The sequence below is a fragment of the Homo sapiens genome, chromosome 8, assembly GCF_000001405.40.
Source record: "Homo sapiens chromosome 8, GRCh38.p14 Primary Assembly".
NCBI classification, from domain to species: domain Eukaryota; kingdom Metazoa; phylum Chordata; class Mammalia; order Primates; family Hominidae; genus Homo; species Homo sapiens.
This window is the reverse complement of record NC_000008.11, coordinates 131,455,963-131,477,056: the sequence shown is the minus strand read 5'-3', so window position 1 is coordinate 131,477,056 and position 21,094 is coordinate 131,455,963. Positions and strand designations below refer to the sequence as shown.

Here is a 21,094-nt window from a genome sequence, read left to right as displayed (position 1 = left end):
CCATGTGATTTCCTAGGCACACCGCACATGGAATTGGAATGATAGCAATGGAGTACCACCCAGAGTCATTTGTTTCTCATTCCATACCCTTGAGGATGACCTTGATTATAGAATCTCAAAAATAACAATTGCTCAGCAGCATTTTTCTCAGCTGGCTTTCTGAATTAGCTCTGATCTTCTTTAATTATGCAACACATACGTCCTCTGAGTGAAGACAGTTAGGCTTCAGTGGAAGATATCTATATTTAGTCTCATAAAATCACCAAATGCTTCAGGGCAAGTTCGTTAATTCTCCTCCACCCACTCCTCAGTAATGTATGATTTTCACTTAAAGTCTCCTATTTACTACCCCTTAGTGAGGCCCACATTTATTTTCTAGTTGTCAAAGGATTTAATTTTCACTCTCTGAACCACACATACCCACACAGAGGCACCCCAGGGTCTTAGCAAAGGGTTTTGTACTAAATCCCTTAATTCTGACATACGTTATTTAACTCTATTCCTAATGACTTTCGGTTTTAAATTGAAGATTCACTGTACTGTTTTGTCTCTGCAGATGGCAAACAGACTGTTATTTCTCCATCTGGAGCTGTCACTGTGTATATTTTTGGCTTGAAAGTTTGATAAAGGGGAGTAAGAAGGGGAATTTTATTTCTTTGTGCTATTGTCTTTCTTCCCCTTTTCCTGTATTTGTTCCCATTTATTCGTTTTCCTCTCCAACTTGGTTCACGCATGTCTACTTACCATGTTATTGGATGTGGAATCTCTGTTATCCCTGACTTGCAGCTGTCTGGTAATTATTCAGAAAGAACAGACTAAAAGAAAGAGAGGAAGAGAGAGAGAGAGAGAGAGAGGGACTTTGTGAGTACAATTGACAAAACAAATATCTCATGATAACATATTTTACTTGCTCTAAATTGGTTTGGCATTGGTTTACTCATCAAAATGCCAAAAGACAAATGGGACCTCATAAAGACAAATGAGGAGTTTGCATATTTACAAAAATACACTTAACTTCATTCCGGCTATTAGGGCACACACTTCCCACCTAATCATTACAATGTAATCTATACTGAAAAATTGTCCTTTCATAAAAGGATTTCTAAATGAACTGCTAATAGATGGGGAAGGATTGCTTAGAAAAGGTTGGATTCTGGAATGAGGAATCTGTAAGCGATCTTAGAGGTATTCTAACCTGAGATACTCATTTTACAGATGAAAACACAAAGCATAAGTGACTTAACCAAAGTCCCAGCAATTTTTGAATGGCATAGCCATGGCTGAAACCCAGCCAGCAATGTGTTTCATTGTGCTGTGTTGGTGGCTGAAATGAAAATAAATAATACTGATAATTTTTATTTTATTTTTAATGAATTGGGCTCTAGTACATAATTTAAGAGAAACAAAAATTCAAGTGACTTTAGACCTAGCATAGACGTGAGACATTGTTTTGTCTAGGAGCTTCCCAATGACTCTTTATGGAGAACTTGTCATTCTGTGGAAGTGCCTCAGAGAACACAAGCAGGAGAGGGTGGGTCTCAGTGTCTGGAACTTTAGCAGACCTCTCACTCCACCAGTATCTGTTATTAACTTAGGGCTTTGCTTTTATCATCTTACATTTTATTTCTTAAATTTTATTTTTGAAAATGTATTCATCAACCAAGGAACATTAAGAAAATCTGATTGAGTTCCACCAGGCTGTTTGAAGATAAGCAGATAAATTAAATATTTTCTCAAAATGATTAGTTGAGTTAATGAAAAAGAATTAACAAGATCTCACATCTCCAAACTCATCCATCCAATTTTTGCTCAGTCAGACTGCTTCAGAGACATCATGTTATGAGAGCTTGAGAGTGGAAGGGATGTGAACACCAAATCTCTGAGTATGCCTTCTCTTGCCTTGTTGCAAGGTAAACCAGGAAAGGCAATCAAATAAAAGATGCCGGCTGGACACAGTGTCTCAGTAATACTAGAACTTTGGGAGGCTGACACAGGTGGATCACAAGGTCAGGAGATCGAGACCATCCTGGCCAACATGGTGAAACCCTGTCTCTACTAAAATACAAAAAATTATCAGCATGGTGGCACGCACCTGTAGTCCCAGCTACTCAGGAGGCTGAGGCAGGGGAATCACTTGAACCTGGGGAGCAGAGGTTGCAGTGAGTGGAGATTGTGCCACTGCACTCCAGCCTGGTGACAGAGCAAGACTCTGTCTCAAAAAAAATGCCACATTTTAACCTTTTCATACAGGAATAGATTAAAAAATTAATAAAGGATTACAGGGATAGGTTTTCCTAACCTTTGTAAGCTGGTGTATTAGTTCATTTTCACGTGGCTACAAAGAACTGCCTGAGACTGGGCAATATACGTATAAAAAAGAGGTTTCATTGACTCACAGTTCTGCATACGTGGGGAGGCCTCAGGAAACTTACAATCATGGCAGAAGGCAAAGGGGAAGCCAGGACCTTTTTCACATGGCAGCAGGAGAAAGAAGAGTGAGTGAAGGAGGAACTTACCAAGCACATAAAACCATCAAATTTCATGAGAACTCACTCACTATCCAAGAACAGCATGGGGAAAACTGCCCCCTGATCCAATTGTTGTCTCCCACCAGGTCTCTCTCTCAATAGCTGGGGATTACGATTCAAGGTGAGATTTCGGTGGGGACAAAGTCAAACCATACCATTCTGCCCCGGGCCCCTCCCAAATCTCATGTCCTCACATTTCAAAATCAATCATGCCTTCCTAACAGTCCCCCACAGTCTTTACTCATTTCAGCATTAACACAAAAGTCCACAGTCCAAAGTCTTGTCTGAGACAAAGCAAGTCCCTTCTGCCTAGGAGCCTGTAAAATCAAAAGCAAGTTAGTTACATCCTAGATACAATGGGGGATACTGGCATTGGAGAAATGTTCCCATTCCAAATGAGAGAAATTGGCTAAAATGAAGGGGCTACAGGTTCCATGTAAGTCTCAAATCCAGCAGGGCAGTCAAATCTTAAAACTCCAAAATAATCTTTGACTCCATGTCTCACAACCAGGTCACCCTGATGTAAGAAGTGGGTTTCCACTTTCTTGGGCAGCTCCACCTCTGTTGTTTTGCAGAGTACAGACCCCCTCCCACTGCTTTCAGAGGTTGGCATTAAGTGTCTGTGGCTTTTCTAGGTGCACAGTGCAAACTGTGTGTGGATCTACCATTCTGGGTTCTGGAGGACTGTTGCACTCTTCTCACAGTTCCAGTAGGCAGTGCCCTAGTGAAGACTCTTTGTGGAGGCTTCTATCCCACATTTCCCTTCTGCATTGCCCTGGCAGAGGTTCTCCATGAGGTCTCCACCCCTGCAGCACACCTCTGCCTGGACATCCAGTTCTTTACATACATCCTCTGAAATCTAGGCGGACGTTCCCAAACCTCAATTCCTGACTTCTGTGGACTCAGAGGCTCAACTCTATGTAGAAGCTGCCAAGGCTTGGGGCTTCCACCTCTGAAGCCGTGGCCCGAGCTATACCTTTTTCCCTTTTAGCCATGAATGGAGTGGCTGGGATACAGGGCATCAAGTCCCTAGGATGCACTCAGCTTGGGGGCCCTGGGCCCAGCCCTTGAAACCATTTTCCCTTCTAGGCCTCTGGACCTGTGATGGGAAGGGCTGCCGTGAAGGTCTCTGGCATACCCTGGAGACATTTTCCTCATCTTTATCTGAGACCACCTAAACCTGACTTTACTGTCCATATCACTATCAGTATTTTGGTCGAAGCCATTCAACAAGTCTCTAGGAAGTTCCAAACTTTTTCACATCTTCCTGTTCTCTTATGAGCCCTCCAAACTGTTCCAACCTCTGTCTGTTACCCAGTTCCAAAGTCGCTTCCACATTTTTGGGTATCTTTACAGCAGCACCCCACTCTACTGGTACCAATTTAATATATTAGTCTGTTCTCATGCTGCTAATAAAGATATACCTAAGACTGGGTAATTTATAAAGAAAAGAGGTCTAACTGACTCACTGTTCCACATGGCTCGGGAGGCCTCACAATCATGGCAGAAGAGCAAGGGGTGTCTTTAATGGTGGCAGGCAAGAGAGAGCTTGTGCAGGGGAACTCCCATTCAAAAAACCATCAGACCTTGTGAGACTTATTCACTACTGCAGAAACAATATTGGGGAAACTAGTCCCATGATTCAATTATCTCCACCTGGTCCTGGTCTTAACATGTGGAGATTATTACAATTCAAGGTGAGATTTGGATGGGGACACAGCAAAACCATATAATTTTGTGCCTACCCATTCCCAAATCTCATGTCTTCACCTTTCAAAACAATCACGCCTTCCCAACAGTCCCCCAAAGTCTTAACTCATTTCAGCATTAACGCAAAAGTCCACAGTCCAAAGTCTCATCTGAGACAAGGCAAGTCCCTTCCACCTAGGAGCCTGTAAAATCAAAAGCAAGTTATTTACTTCCAAGACACAATTGGGGTACAGGATAAATGCTCCCATTTCCAAATGGGAGAAATTGGCCAAAACCAAGAGCCTACAGGCCCCATGAAAGTCCAAAATCCTGCAGGGCAGTCATTAAATATTAAAACTCCACAATAATCTCCTTTGACTCCATGTCTCACATCCAGGCCAGGCTGATTCAAGAGGTGGGCTCCCATGGCATTGGGCAGTTCTGCCCCTGTGGCTTTGCAGGGTACAGTCCTGCCCTGGCTGCTTTCACAGCTGGCATTGAGTGTCTGCAGCTTTTCCAGAAATATTGTACAAGCTGTCAGTGGATCTACCATTCTGGGGTCTGGAGGATGTTGGCCCTCTTCTCACAGCTCTACTAGGCAGTGCCCCAGTGGGGTCTCTGGGTGGGGGCTCCAACCCCACATTTCCTGTTTGCACTGCCCTAGCAGAAGTTCTCCATGAGGGCTCTGCCCTGCAACACACCTCTTCCTGGACATCCAGGCGTTTCCATACATCCTCTGAAATCTAGGTGGAGGATCCCAAACCTCAATTCTTGTCTTCTGTGCATCCACCGGACCAACACTATGTGGAAGCTATAAAGGCTTGGGGCTTGCACCCTCTGAAGCAACAGCTTGAGCTGTACCTTGGCCCCTTTTAGCCATGACTAGAGTGACTGGGATGCAGGGCACCAAGTCCAGAGGCTGCACATATCAAGACCTTGGACCTGGCCCACAGCCTTTTTTACCTCTTAAGCCTTCTGGCCTGTGATGAAAGGGACTGCTCTGAAGGTTTCTGACATGTCCTGGAGACATTTTCCCCATTGTCTTGGAAATTAACATTTGGCACCTCATTACTTATGCAAATTTCTGCAGCTGGCTTGAATTTCTCTCAGAAAATTGGTTTTTCTTTTCTACTGCATCATCGGGCTGCAAATTCTCCAAACTTTTATGATTTGCCTCTCTTTTAAAAATAAGTTCCAATTTCAGATCATCTCTCTCAAGTTCAAAGTTCCACAGATCTCTAAAGTAGGGGCAAAATGCTGCCTGTCTCTTGTTAAAGCACAGCAAGAGTCACCTTTACTTCAGATCCCAATTAGTTCCTCATCTCCATCTGAGACCACCTCAGCTTGGACTTCATTGACTATATCACTATTGACATTTTGGTCAAAACCACTCAACAAGTTCATAAGAACTTCCAAAATTCCCCACATCTTCCTGTCTTCTTCTGAGCCCTCCAAACTGTTCCAACCTGTGCCTGTTACCCAGTTCCAAAGTTACTTCAACATTTTTTAGTATCTTTATAGCAGTACATTAAAGTACTGTATCTTTAATACAGTAAATTGGTACCTACTTCTGGTACCAATTTACTGTATTAGCCTGCTTGTTTTCACACTACTATCAATAACTTCCCGAGACTGGGTAATTTATTTTAAAAAGAGGTTTAATTGACTCACAGTTCTGAATGGCTGGGGAGGCATCAGGAAATTTACAAGCATGGCAGAAGGCAAAGGGGAAGCATGAATCTTCTTCACATGGTGGCAGGAGAGAGAACAGTGAGCAAAGGAGAAGCTTGCCGAGCACTTACAAAATCATCAGATCTCATGAGAACTCACTCACTATCCTAAGGACAGCATGGGGGAAACCACCCCCATGATCCAATCACCTCCCACCAGCTCTCTCCCTCAACACCTGGGGGTTACAATTCAAGATGAGATTTGGGTAGGGACACAAAACTTAACTATATCAGACAGGAAGGCAAAACAAGTTCTAAAGCAAATAAGAAATCACAAATCTAATCTAGGAGGCATCATATCACAAAGGAGATAAGAGTGTGGTTTTTGTTTTTGTTTTTGTTTTTTGTTTTTTGTTTTTGTTTTCGTTTCTGTTTGAGGCAGAATCTCACTCTGCCACCCAGGCTGGAGTGCAGTGTGCAGTGGCACGATCATGGCTCACTGCAGCCTCCACCTCCCATGCTCAGGTGACTCTCCCACCTCAGCCTCCCAAGTAACTGGGACTACAAACACATGCCACTATGTCAGCTAATTTTTGTAATTTTTGTAGAGGTGGGATTTTGCATGTTGTCTAGGCTGATCTGAAACTCCTGGACTTGGCATCCACCCATCTTGGCCTCCCAAAGTGCTGGGATTACAGGTGTGAGCCACTGCACCTGGCCAAGAAGTGGAGTTTCTGATACAATGGCCTTGGTGGAATTCAGAATTTAGAATAGCAGTGAGAGTCTGGTGAGAGTCCAGTGATGGCAAGGGGCCTGATAAAAGTGGCCAATGAAAGGCAGAAGAAGATGGAAGAAGAAGCAATTGGCTCTCACAAGACTAAAATCCTAGGGCCTTCAGTCATCAACTTCTAGTCAATTTTCTGAAGCTTCTGGGCATACAGCAGCGTGTGCCCTAAAAAGCTTCCATACAGTCACTGCAGCTGGGTGCTGGTCACTCCACGGAATCTCTTGAGATAGTTCCTCTTACATTTGAACTGTCACTTTCATGTGGACAGTTTTTTATCCTTAACTTTGGCACATACTTAGATTTTTAAATTCTGTTCAGTCCTCTATAATTGGCACCATAATTTGCAGAGTTCCTGGCTTTTATTATTGCATTGCATATAGTCTCAGCCAAGCTCTAAGAGACTATACAGCCCCTGGCTGGAATCGGATTCAATGCTGTAGTGCAGAGCTCAAAACTGGTTGAGGAAATCTGAAAGACCAGTTACTGAGAGACCAGAATGAATCAGTAGAGTGAGTGTGGTTCTTCAGCTGAAGGTAAGGGGTTTAGGGAGAACACGGTTTTGTTTTCCTTATCTCTAGGGAATATTCTTATCTCCAAATACGTGGAATATAGTTGTAAAAACTGTTTTGATATCCCTGTGTGCTAATTATCACATCTGTGCCAGTTCTGGTTAATTTAGATGGAAGTTTTCTTTTCATTATGGGTATGGGTGATGTTTTCCTGCCTTTCGCATGGTTGTAATATTGCATTAAAACTTAGACATTCTGAATTTTATCTGGTTGGACATTGCATATTTTTGTATTTCTGTCAATATTCTTGAGCTTTGTTCTGAAATGCATTACAGTCATTGAAAACAGTTTAATTATTTTCCTGCAAGAAAACAGTTTCTTGCATTTCGGACGTGTTCAGACAAGACTGGAGCAGCAGTTTGTCTAGTGCTTATTAGTCCCCACTAATGAGTCAAGAGCCTTCTGTATACTCTATCCAATGCCCATGAATCATAAGATTTTCCAACCTGGTTGGTGGTTCTATGCACTATTTCAGTCCTTGTGTAGGCAATAGGCACTGTTACCATTAATCCTTTCAGGTAGTTCTCTCCTTGACCTCCAGTCATTTTCTCGTATGTGTACACTGACTGGTAACTACCTGAATGCTTGGGGTGAATCCTTTGCAAACATTTAGAGTTTTCTTCCTGTTCAGCCGTTTTCCTCCGTGGTACTCTCTCCTGAAGGTTCAAGCTATCTTTCCTGACTTTCGGCTCTGCCTCCTCAACCCAGCCAGTTCTCATGGCTCTGGGTTCTCCCTGTCTTTTTGTGAGCTGGAAATTCTCTCAAGGTAGAAAACTGAGGACATGATAGTGCTAACTTCATCTCCTCCTCCTTTCATGGGTCTCTTTTCTTCTACTAGACATCTTGAAAACTGTTTTTCACATATTTTGGTCCATATTTTGAATGTTTAATACAGCAGAATAATCCCTATCCTTGCTAATTCTTCTTGGTGACGTGACATTTTTAGGAAAAAAATTTTAAGAGCTTGCTTTGCAGTTTCCTGCAGAGCAGACACAGAGGTGGAAGGAGCATAGGTTTTGTACACACAAGTCCGTGTTTAAATTTTAGCTCCACTACTATGAGACCTTGGGAGGTATTGTACTTTTAAAATGGCAGTTTCCTCATGTTTGAAATGGAGATAATGGTAATGCCTGTTCTGTGTATGTAGATGAGAGATTAGCTGAGACTGTGCATGTAAAGCATCTATTAAATGTTGGCTGCCAGAGTAACACTGAAACACGGATTTACTCTCCCCTCACTACAGCTATCATTTCCCTCTCCCTTTTCCTTCATTCTACTTTTATCAACAGATCAACTTGTTTTATAATTTTTGTGTATTAGCCAGTGTGCTAAATTCTTTACACCTTTTAACTCATGAAGCTTCGCAACAACCTATGACATAGGTACTTGGCATTATTTTACAGATAAGCTGAAGCTACCACTTGTCACAGCAAAACAAAAGACTAGAAGCAAGAGCCATCCATCGTATTCCAGACAATCCACAGAATATGACAGATAATAATATATCGGTATTTTTAGCCACTACGTTTTGGAGTGATTTGTTAGTGGATGGCCAATCTTTCCTTTTGCTTAGAGTTGAAGGCTTTTGTGGGATGCAGGACTTTGAGTGGTAAAACTGGAACAGTCTTAGGCAAACCAAGATAGACAGCAATAGATAATTAGAACAAGCCTGTGATCACCACTGTTTGATCACCATTGATGCATGGTGATTAAGCAATAGATACTGGGTATAAAAACCAGCTGCTTTGACGGTGGACCTCCCTATGTTATTCTGCCTCCAGAGTCAAATCAGAATGTTAGATTAAGTCAACCTTAAATTCATTTCCATTTCCAAATCCTAAGTTCCTTAGCACATCTTCAGGGAAGACCTTCAGGTAGCCCCGGTCCTCTTCTGAATCAGATGAGATTCCTGCAACATCACACACATACTTTGTGATGGTCAGTTTTGCAATTATTTTATTAAAATGTGTTTTGCTCACTAGACAGTGAGTTCAATATTGAATATCCAGCACCTACCTTAGTGTTCATTATGTGCAAAATGTCACTTCAATATTGGTTAAAATAATAAATGTTTTAAAGCTCCATAGACTCATTTGAAATTTTCTTTAAAATGTGAGAGAACCAATTTTGATGCTGGTAAATGTCAACATTGTATTTCCGGATTGATGTACTTTGATTTTATATCTTCTCATAGGCAAGATGGAGAGGAAGGCATAAATTGGTTAATTTATACTTCATCCTATAAAGAACAGATTCAAAAGGAATGTATAAAAATTCTAACAGTATCTGAAAATGTCAAGGTAAACTTGTATATTAAAACATATTTAAGTTGAACATTTGAAATGGTCATACCTAAAAAGCTTTTCTATTTCTGTTATGTTCTGCAATTTAAATAAAATTGTTATATTTAAAATTGTAACATGTTTATTTTAAAGTATGTGATGTATTTTGTATAACCTTTTTTGATAGAAATATTAAACTCTGGACTATATCCAATTATCTAAAATTCTGTTCATAACACCAAAAGCTCAAAATAAAAAAGGAAAAATAGTTAATAAGAAACAGTTTCCATGCCCCCAAAATCTTATCTGTACGTCTTGACATCAAGAAAATCCACTGGCTTTTTGCCTCACTGAGAATCCAGAATGCAATTAAACTAAGCAATTTCAAATGACTTACTTAAATAACATTTTTTTTTAAATTGAGTAACAAAGTAGGCCGAAATAAACCTGAATAAATTAGAAAACTGAGTTGGGAATAAGAGTGCTTCAGTCTCTGTTTTCCATGGATTTTGTGAAGTTTAACAAGCTCTGCTCTTGTTTTGCCGTGTCTAACAAAATTGCAGTTTGCTAAAATAGTCTGGTGTTCAAATCATGTTGACTTTTTCAGTTAAATTGTATTGTCCTGGGGCCCTAAAGTGTCATCTAGAATTCCCCTCCTTCGTTGACAGATGAAACTTGGAGCACAAGAATGGAAAGGTCTGAAAGGATCTTTCTCCAGATAATTCAGCGAATAGATGGCGCAACTGAAACTGAAAGCCAGGCTGGCCAAGGCTTAGTTCCAGTTTTTGTTTGTTTCTTTGTTTACCTGTGTTTTTGTTTTTGTGGCTATGGGCAGAGAAGGGAGGGAAGAAAGAGAGCTGCAAGGATGCCTTCCTTTTCAGGGTTTTTCCTTTGCATCCTTCCCTACACTTTCAGGACCAAAATTTTATTTGTAATATTTTAGCCCACTGTTTAACTTAACATGACAGTAAAAGCACTTTTTCATGTTGCTTATAAAATCTTTGTGACTTCATTTTTGATGGCTATACACTGGTATATTGAATGCATGTGCCATTATTTATTAGATTCAATCATATGACTACCATTTTGTAGGTTAAAAATTGTCCACATTCGCAATTCATATCATTCAACCTTTAACTATCCATTCTATGTTATGGGACATGTTTAGGTTTTTAAATTAGCTACAATAGATACCTTGAGGGAAAGTGACATTTGGTTAACTCACTTTTGCAGCACACATCATGCATGTGCCAGAGTGTCACCAGCCACATTCTCCCGGGGAGCAGGTAGCATCGTAGCCAGCCAGAGTCTCTAGGACCGTTAGTAGGAGTCATTTACAGTTCCTACCTCCAGCCCAGGCCTTGGAAAAATGGCAAAGAAATTATTCCAAAGACCCTGACACTGTCCTCACCCACCAGGCTTCTGTTTGTGGGAAAGCACCTTTGCAGGTCTTGGCAAGGCCAGATGAGACAGCTTTTGAGAGTTTATTGCATTTGGATGCCGCTTCATCTGTGCTCTGTCTCTGTAGCCACCAGGAAAGAACAGCCTGCCTTCTATTCTACTGCCTTTGGATCTTTAAATGGCTAGCTTGTTTTTTTAAGCATTGGAGTTGATGTTCCAAGGCAAAAATAACAGCCTGGCTTTTTACCATTATATTTGAATTGAGTAATGCTTGGAAAATTTTAAAAAGTTCTTATCTATAAATTAGGGTTAATAGTGATAGTTTTTAGGGTTGGGAAAAAAGCACAATACCCTTAAATGATTATAAGTAATTATTGAGAGTATTAGCAAGTCCTGATCTAATCATTATCACCCATACACAAATATTTTCTCTGGATCTAATGAGCTGTGGAATGGAAAGAAGCCATAGACAGAATTCACAAGGCTGAACTAGATGTAATGTCTGGAAATGCAGGCAAAACCACAGCCTCTGTCAATTATTAACTATATAGCTTCAGAGAAGGCTTTTTTTTTTTTTTTTTGAGACAAGATCTCCTTCTTTTACCCAGTGCAGTGGTGCAATCACAGCTCACTGCACCCTCAACCTCCAGAGCTTCAGCCATCCTCTCACCTCAGTCTCCTGAGTAGCTTGGACTATAAGCACATGCCTTGATACCCAGCTAATTTTTGTACATTTTGTAGAGATGGGGTTTGGCCATGTTGTCCAGGCTGATCTCAAACTCCTGGGCTCAAGCAATCTACCTGCCTTCGCCTCCCAAAGTGCTGGGATTACAGGCCTGAGCCACCACGCCCGGCTCCTTTTCTTTGCTGAGCCCCAGTGTTCTCACTGCTGAGCTTGGTGTAGCTGAAGAGATTCCTGTTCGTGAATGTAAAAAAATACCTGGTACATTGGAGAAGCCCCCATCGATGCTAGTAAGGAGGCGTGCAGTGTATCAACTTAAGAGCACAGGCTTGGCCGGGCACAGTGGCTCACGCCTGTAATCCCAGCACTTTGGGAGGCTAAGGCGGGCGGATCATGAGGTCAGGAGATCGAGACCATCCTAGCTAACACGGTGAAACCCCATGTCTACTAAAAATACAAAAAAATTAGCCAGGCGTGGTGGTGGGCGCCTGTAGTCCCAGCTACTCAGGAGGCTGAGACAGGATAATGGCGTGAACCCAGGAGGCGGAGCTTGCAGTGAGCCGGAATCACACCACTGCACTCCAGCCTGGGAAGCAGAGTGAGACTCTGCCTCTAAAAAAAAAAAAAAAAAAAAAAAAAAAAAAAAGAGCACAGGCTTTCAGCATGTAGATCTGAATTCAAATATTATCGCCATTAGATTTTTTTTAACACTCAGGGATTCAGTTTCTTCGTTTGGTAAAATAATTATACCTGCATTTAGAGATGTTGTTAAAGATCAAAGGAGAGAATGTATGTGTTGTGTTCAATCTAGCACCTGATATATGGTAAATGTTAACTAAATGGTGGTTGATTTATATTTTTAGATTATAATATTTTCTTCCACTCTTCTTTTGACAAGCACTTAGAATGCAGTCAGATTCCTTTTCCAATCCAGTTATTAATATGTGCCCCAGTATGCTTTCCAAACTCTGGCTGCTTGTCAAAAATGAATATTGTGTGTCATTTTGATCTGCTATTCTTTTCACGGTACCTTCATGGTGGCAAGTTCTTTCTTCTCTATATGTCACAAAAATGCTTAATAATAGACGCTAATCCTACGGCACTCTAGTAACAATTTCTAACTGCTTGTATTCCAAAACCACGGTTGTTTTACATGCTCTAAGCATGCTTAATTAAATCTCTGTTTTCACCAGCTGAATGAAATGAAAGGTTAACCAAAAGAAAGCCTCTATGTATGTGTATGTGTGTATATATATATATGTGTGTGTGTATATGTCTCTGTGTGTTATGTATGCACAAAGATAGATATGTATAAAGAAAGAAAGATGACAGGTGATTGACAGAGATAAGTAGGTAGATAGATACATAGATAGATACATAGATAGGAGACAAATAGACATGGGGGCCCACATTTAATTACCAAGATCATGAAATTATTATAAGTGTGCCATGAAGTCTTTCTCCTTTTACATTTATTTTTTTTTTTTACAATAAGGATTCTATGCAAAAGTATGAGACTCTTCTGCCAATTTCTGCCTGCCTGCTAAAAAATTCAGACATTGTAATAGTTAATTTCCAGCTCATGTGGATCAAATTTCTGTAGGTTAGCAGAAAGCAAATAGGAGTCCCAAATGTCTGTCACTTAAATAAGAGATACATTATTTAAACTAAAAGGACACTTATTACAGCAGGAATTCTATTACACATCAATCAAAACCAGGGATTTGCCTAAGGTTAGTCTTGTCCTTGTTGTTCAGCCAAACTCTGCTCTTCAACTTTAGATTTAACCTTTAGAAGAACGTATGACTGAATTTTAGCTTTATTTCCTCCGTCCTTGAACTTAAGTGATTGTATGTAGAAGTATGTGAAAAAGCACTAGAAATAAAAATTACATATATGAAATAAGTAATTATATTTATCTTAAATCTGCTTCTGTCCCAGGATACGCGCCAGCCTCCTACATGACCTACATCACACATAGGATGATTGGAACCGTTGTAGCTGTGGAACCAGGGTCCTTAGGATCTGAACATGGAGACTGGATACTCCTACTCTTGCTAGTCTAGGGTGAAATGCCACACCACAGAATACGGGATGTGACTTCCTGGACACTTACCAAAAATAGGCCAGGTGAATAAAACTCAGAAAGTGCAGGGAAATCATTTTCTCATTGAGTGAAGTTTGACCAACTAGGAGAATATGGGAAACAGTCTACATGCTCTGTAGTCTGTTTCTCCTCCTGCAGGTGTAATAGATAGGCCTAAATGAGAAACCAGCTGTCTTTTTGTGGCAATGTAGTTTCAAAATTCACCATCTTGATTTTCTTCTCCTCTTCCCTGCTTGAGCATGAGCACTTCCTTTATTCCTATTCTTGTTTTGTTGGAATTAGACCTCCAAATAAAACATCAACACTTAAGTTTTGACTAATGCTATTTTGTAGGGAAGCTGAGATAAGATGGCTGGTTACGGGAATAGTTCTAGAATGCATACCTACCGGTTGAGATTTAGTACTAAAATAGATTCTCTGTCTAGAAGCAATGGGCACCTTTGTTATTACCAGTAGGTGCAGTGTTAATAACCCGTAGCATGCAATGGCATAAAAATTATTAAAATTTTTATCTGTAGATAGTGTGATGAGGTACAGGATGAGATCGAATCATTGGAGGATCAGTTGATGCTACATTAATCCATATGAAGGAAATGGTAATTTAAAAATTGCAGTGTGATAGCTTCTTTTGACAACATCGGAGGCTTTGCAAGCAGAAAAGGATAGGTTTAATGCAGTTAATTACTGATATAATACTTTTTATGAAAATCAGAAGGCTATTATAGTAGCTTTTAAAAAACAATTATCTCCTGCAACCACAGGGACACGTTGCAAAATAATAGTTGTTCTTTTCAGCACCCAGTTCCACCACACTTTATTGCCCTCAAGACAACAACTAGAGCTAAGTCTCAGCATGAACCAACAAGAAAATTATAGCCCCTTATCCAAAAATAAATAATCCATACCTAAAAGAATTGCAGCATGTGGTTAATAGATACCAGGAAGATAGGAGAGAGCACATGTGAAGATGTATCTTGAGGGTACTATACCCAGGAACATGGAATATAATGCTGGATGGGTAATAATTCATTGAGAATTGGCCACTCACCTGTTGTTAGGGATTTGATGTTCTGGGAAGGACATCTGAAAATATCCCTATTAGCATTGCAGATGGCTCCAAAGCCTGGACTTATTAATCACCGATAGTAATAAAAGTAAAGATTCCAGAACTTCCTTCTTATACTACTGGAGAAGGATTCACAAGTCTTAGAGAGGTAGTATATTAGGCTGTTCTTGCATTGGTATAAAGGAATACCTGAGGCTGGAAAATTTATAAGGAAAAAAGTTTAATTGGCTCATGGTTCTGCAGGCTATACAAGCTTAACGTTAGCATCTGCTTGGCTTCTGTGGAGGCCTCGGGAACCTTTTACTCATGGTAGAAAGCTCAGTGGGAGCAGGCACATTATGTGGCCAGAGTAGGAACAAGAGGGGGCTGAGGTAGGTGCTACACACTTTTAAACAACCAGATCTCATGAGAACTCACTATCGTGAGGTCAGCACCAAACCATGAAGGATATGCCCCCATGACCCAAACGCCTCCCACTGGGCCTCATTTCTGATGCTGGAGATCACATTTCATGATGAGATTTGGGGAGACAAATATCCAAACTATATCAGATAGCAATGACAGAATGGATTTATTATGCAATTTTAGAACCCATCACCTGACTATATTTTCTTGGAAGGCCAGAACTCACCTTTCTATTAAAACAATGACTAATGTGCTGGTTAAGAGTCCACTATTGCCTTTGAGATCCACTTGAGTGGCTCTTGTATACAGGCCATGGTTGACAGTGGATGATCCTACCATGGAGCTAAGCCCCCTAATCTCTTAGGGAAGATGGGATTCTGTACTAGAAGAAGCCACGTTGTAGGACCATCATAAGCAAGGTTGATATAATGGGCTTCATGGTTAGAGTAGCAGTAAAGTGCATTGACCCACAGGAATCTGTGTCTATAGTAATTAATATTCCTTCAGGGAGATAGAAGGATACCCTAATAGGTATAACTTGGTTTCTAAAATCAGAAGAAATCTAGATCTGGTGAGCAAAAGGCTGACATCAGCCACCAAAATTTAAAATGACAGAACCTCATCCAGTTCTCAGACCTGACTCCCTTCACAGTCTCATAACTCACTGATTGAGGGAGAGTCCAGGTTCTCTTGAATAAGAATCCTGTAGTGCCACCAAATGTGTGTATAATGGTGTGTTATTAGTTATCATTAATCCTTTCCCATAGAAATCTCTGCCATTTTCCAGAATAACCATGCAGTGAAGAAGTAAATCACCCAGACTTTTTGAAGACAGTTAAATACAGGGTCTAAACTGACACTGATGTCAGGGAAACAAAAATGCCATTTTAGTCCCCTTGTTACCATGGGACTTATATAAGGTATTTGGTAAATTACCTTGGCTCTTGTCTTTCTTAAAATGGATACAATCGGTCTACACACTCATATTGTATGTATTTATTTTCACTCATCATATTCTGTGCTTGCTTATCTGTGCCCCAAATGAATAACTGGGATATATAATGGCTTCATGAAAGGGACAACCAAATGGAGTTCTTTAAAGTGCCCATATATCAAAATGGGAAATCAGAAGCAATGCCTAATTCCTGGATGGTTGATGTAGAGATTAGTGCCTGTCCTTCAGCTAACCATGTCCTTTATCTTTACCGGTGGGGGAGTTTCTTTCTGCACTGACTGCACCACACATACCTCAAGCAACTCCCACACCCATTCTTCAGTGGCAGTCCTCAACCAAGGAGCATGAGTGTTGGTGGGTAAATGCCCTAGTCTCTCAATCTTTGGAGGGAAAATTTTGAAGCACATTCTACAGAATTCCTCAATCAGTGCCCAGAAACACTGATCTCCAATATCCCACAGTAGCTCCATAACACAAAATATATTGGCTCTTCCTCCTTCCCAGTCCCACTTTCAGGCTCTGCTTCTGGTGAAACACAAACTAAGAGAATGCTTCCATCAAAGACTTGAAAGATTCGTAGGCTATGTTTCCCCCATACCCCAATTCAATTAGACTTTTGCAAGCCTGATCTGTCATGCTAGCTGTCAGTGGCCCACTGAAAATGAATCAGGTTGTAGTTTTTATTTATTTTTATTATACTTTAAGTTTTAGGTTACATGTGCACAACGTGCAGGTTTGTTACATATGTATACATGTGCCATGTTGGTGTGCTGCACTCATTAACTCGTCATTTAACATTAGGTATATCTCCTAATGCTATTCCTCCCCCCACCCCACCCCACAACAGGCCCCGGTGTGTGATGTTCCCCTTCCTGTGTCCACGAGGTTGTAGTTTTTATTGTAGTAGCTGTGCTGGAAGCTTTGTCTTTACCAGAGACAAACAATACAGCCTCTGGCAATTTGTATGTCACCATTGATTAAGTAAATGCTTTTTCCCCCCTCTATACCAATCAAGAGTGAGGATCCAGCAATATATGCTTACTTTCTTGCTTCAGAACTATGGAGGCAAGGCATGGGTCCCACAGTGCAGGTCCCATGTACTGTCAACAGCAGAAACTGATGCTGAGCATTAATTTTGGGCCCATTCCTCATGCAGACCAGACAACCAACTGATGGCAAGTTGACTCTATTTAATTCCTTCCACATTGGAAAGGGTAGTTATTTTTCCATACCAGGATTAATACATATTTCACATATAAAAATATAGGGGAGTTACTGCCCTTGGCATAATAATTGATAAATGATGGACAAGAGACAAAAGAGAACCAGCAAATGAACTTCTCTCCTTTCCTCCCCCTAGGGGACTATTCTAAGGCAGCATGTTTCTGTCGGGCCTGATCGGAGGTGTCCTGTACAACCAAATGACTGTTCACAACTTTGCATTGAGCTGTGGCGAGCTCACAAATACGCCCACTTTCCACTTTCTTTCCTGCTCACTTCACTTTCCCCTCAATCTTACTGCTCTGAATTTCACCTCCTGATAAAGTGTTAGTGCTTGAAATTTGCCATAGGCTCTGCTTTTTAGGGAAGCTGGACTAAGTCCATGTCTTCTTTAATGAGTAAACAAAGCTTTGCATTGAAAGTTTTATTCAATAAAATTTTTTCACTACTCTCAACTAAATATTTAAGTCCATGACTTAAAGAGAATACAAGCATATGCTTAAATCATTTAAAATCAGAGCAGAAGGCAAGCTTAAACTCTTGGACATAACATTTAGCTTATACCTTCAGAGATAGCAAATAAAGGAAAATCCTTGCTCCACAACCGATTTTAAAATAAAATAATAATTTAGTGTTACAAAGTATAGTATAGGGACATAAGAAAAAATCTTGAATCTGACAATGCTGAGAAATCATTGCTTATTAACATTTAGAAATACAAATATCAGAATTTTAAAAGCTTACTGGATTTTAACAATGAAATGCTGGTGAGAATAATATTTACTTTTTAAATTAAATTCCAGATTTAATTGGTATCCTATAAAATGAGGTGGCAATATTTGGCTCTGGCTTTGGCTTTGGTCAAATATTGATCTTTCTACTCAGTCCTTTGACATTTGTCCAATATGAATTTTTAAGACACATCTGAAGTGAATCCCCCTCTTTAAATTCCACTGAATGGCATTTGTTAAGAATATAATACAGAAGCTAATAATACTTACAGTAGTCGTAGTAACAAGTAGTTAAATATATTGAACAAATCCTTTGTTACAGGCACTCCACAGAACACTTTAAATGCACAATTAATTTAGTCTTTGTGATAATTTTTCACAAAGTACATAATAATTATCACAAAAGTACAAGATAATTTTTCATTTATGTGCACAATAATTTCTTTAGGTGAGCACATTTACCATCAGGAAACTGAAAGACAGAGAGTTTCACAAATTGCTCACTGTCATCCAGCTTATAATGATAGATACAAGTAGGATTTCAGGTCAGTCTCAGCCACAGCATATGCTCTTTATAACAGGGAGTATTTATTCTCTGCTGGGCATTGTACTATGACGCTTTTCATGTTCTAAATCCCAACAAACAAAAGAGATAGCTATTGCAATTGTTTCCATTTGACAAATGAGGAAAGGAAAGGCAGTGAGAGATGAAGTAATTTGCCCAAAGTTACACAATTAGTAACTGGAAGTGCAGGGATTCAAGAAATCTGACCCTAAAGCTTACTCTGTATCAATCACTCACTTTCTCCAGTTCCAGCCAGAGAGAAAGTGTATCTTTAAGGATTACTGTAATTGATTAATATAACATCTTTATTTTTTGACTGTGACCTCAGTCTGTCTTTTATTTATTTATTTATTTATGGTTTTTTTTTATTTTTATTTTTGAGACAGAGTCTCACTCTGTTGCCCAGGCTGGAGGGCAGTGGCGCAATCTCGGCTCACTGCAAGCTCCTCCTCCCGGGTTCCCGCCATTCTCCTGCCTCAGCCTCTCAAGTAGCTGGGATTACAGGTGCCCACCACCATGCCTGGCTAATTTTTTGTATTTTTAGTAGAGATGGGATTTCACCGTGTTCACCAGGATGGTCTCAATCTCCTGACCTCATGATCCGCCCGCCTTGGCCTTCCAAAGTGCTGGGATTACAGGCATGAGCCACCACACCCAGCCCTCAGTCTTTCTTAACAAATCCTTTGCTGGCCTTATAATGTCTTGAATACAAGAATTCTGCCAGATTTTTATGTAGAGGCGTATCCAGATCAGGTAGCCTCACGTACAGTGGGCATGACATAGGTAAGCAGCCCTTCTAGAGAGAATGGTTTTATAATGAAACTATTTTTGGAGCCTGAGTGCTCTACATATAATATATGCAGGAGGTGGGACAGTTCTGATGCTCTCCTAGACAGCAAAAAATCCATGGGAAAAATCATACCTTATAGAAGATACAACAGAGTCAGCTTTTGACACTGATGAATACATTAAAGGAAGACAGCTTCAGGCTGTACCTTCTTTACTTTTTCAAAATCCCTGCCTTCCTTATAAAAATAAGCACTTCACAGTCTTCATGAGAGTTGCTATTGTTCTGCTTGGATGACTTTGGAAGATAGGTGGTAACTAAAATAATTTTAGTCCACTTGATTCTAATAGCTCATTTGCTTGACAATACTTGAAAAGGTCTAAAATTTAAGATTTTATAAAACACTAAAGGGAATATTTACATAATAAATATTCCCATGGCATAAGTGTTCTTAGAATTTTTAAAATAAACATATATGAACTTCTTACAAAAAGAAATTGCAAAGATAAATGTCATGCAATCCTAGTGCTAATTAATGCATCTTCACTACTCTCACGGTTATGATGAGCTAATATTATAATCTATTACCTACACATTCCCAAATTCACAGAGAGTTCAGTTCTTCACCAGTGTAAAGGCTGAAATTATGTAATTTCTATTTCTATGATTTATTCTATAAAAATCGTATGGAATGATTGAATAAATCTTTACGCCATTTTTAAACTAAAGTGTAATTCTCAAGCAGTAAAATTTCCTCTTTTTGTGTTAAGCATGTTTTGAAAAAAATGCATACTACCTTGTAATCATCACCAGAATCAAGATATAAAGATAGAGAACATGTTTATCACTTCCAAAATAAATTCTCTTTGCCCCCATTTAATCAATCCCTCCACTCCAATTTATTATTCATATTAATGGGATCATGTAGTACATAGACTTTTGAGTCTGTTTTCTTTCATTTAGCACAATGCATGTTTTAGTAGTTCTTTCCTTCTAATTGGCAGCAGGCAGGGTGCATTCCATTGTATAAATGTGCTATGTCTTGCTTATCTATTCACCAGTTGAAGGCCATTTGAGTTGCTTCTAGTTTGGGGCTGTTAATAACAAAGCTACTACAAACACAGACAAAAGTTTTTGTATGAACAAAAAGTTTTATTTTTTCTAGATAAATATTTCTGAGTAGAATGAAATTGTGTGGCTCATTTATATTTAACTTTATAAGAAATTGCCATACTGTCTTTCAAAGAGGCCATACTATTTTGCATTTGCATGAATGACATATGAAAATTCCTATGTGTATCCTTGTCAGCATAGGGTATTATCAATGATTATTTTAGCCATTCTAGTAGATTAGAATAGCAGTCCCTGCTTTTTCTTCTGTTTTCCATTTGCTTGTAGATTTTTTCCCCATTCCTTTATTTTGAGCCTATGGGTGTCACTGCATGTGAAACGAGTCTTTTAAAGACAGCATACTATCGAGTCTTGCTTCCTTATGCAACTTCCCACCCTATGTGTTGTTGTTGTTGTTGTTGTTGTTGTTGTTGTTTTTGAGATGGAGTCTTGCTCTGTAGCGCAGTCTGGAGTGCAGTGGCTTAATCTCCACTCACTGCAAGCTCTGCCTCCTGGATTCACACCATCCTCCTGCCTCA

At 39.8% G+C, this 21,094-nt stretch overlaps 1 long non-coding RNA gene across 1 annotated transcript; it reads left to right on the top strand.

Moving 5' to 3' along the window:
* The first annotated feature begins 6,713 nt into the window (after positions 1 to 6,713).
* LOC105375763 (uncharacterized) lies at positions 6,714 to 13,947 on the top strand. The gene is made up of 3 exons (XR_928659.2): positions 6,714 to 7,207; positions 9,438 to 9,543; positions 13,550 to 13,947. It is a non-coding gene; the product is annotated as an uncharacterized LOC105375763 (long non-coding RNA).
* Positions 13,948 to 21,094: the final 7,147 nt, after the last annotated feature.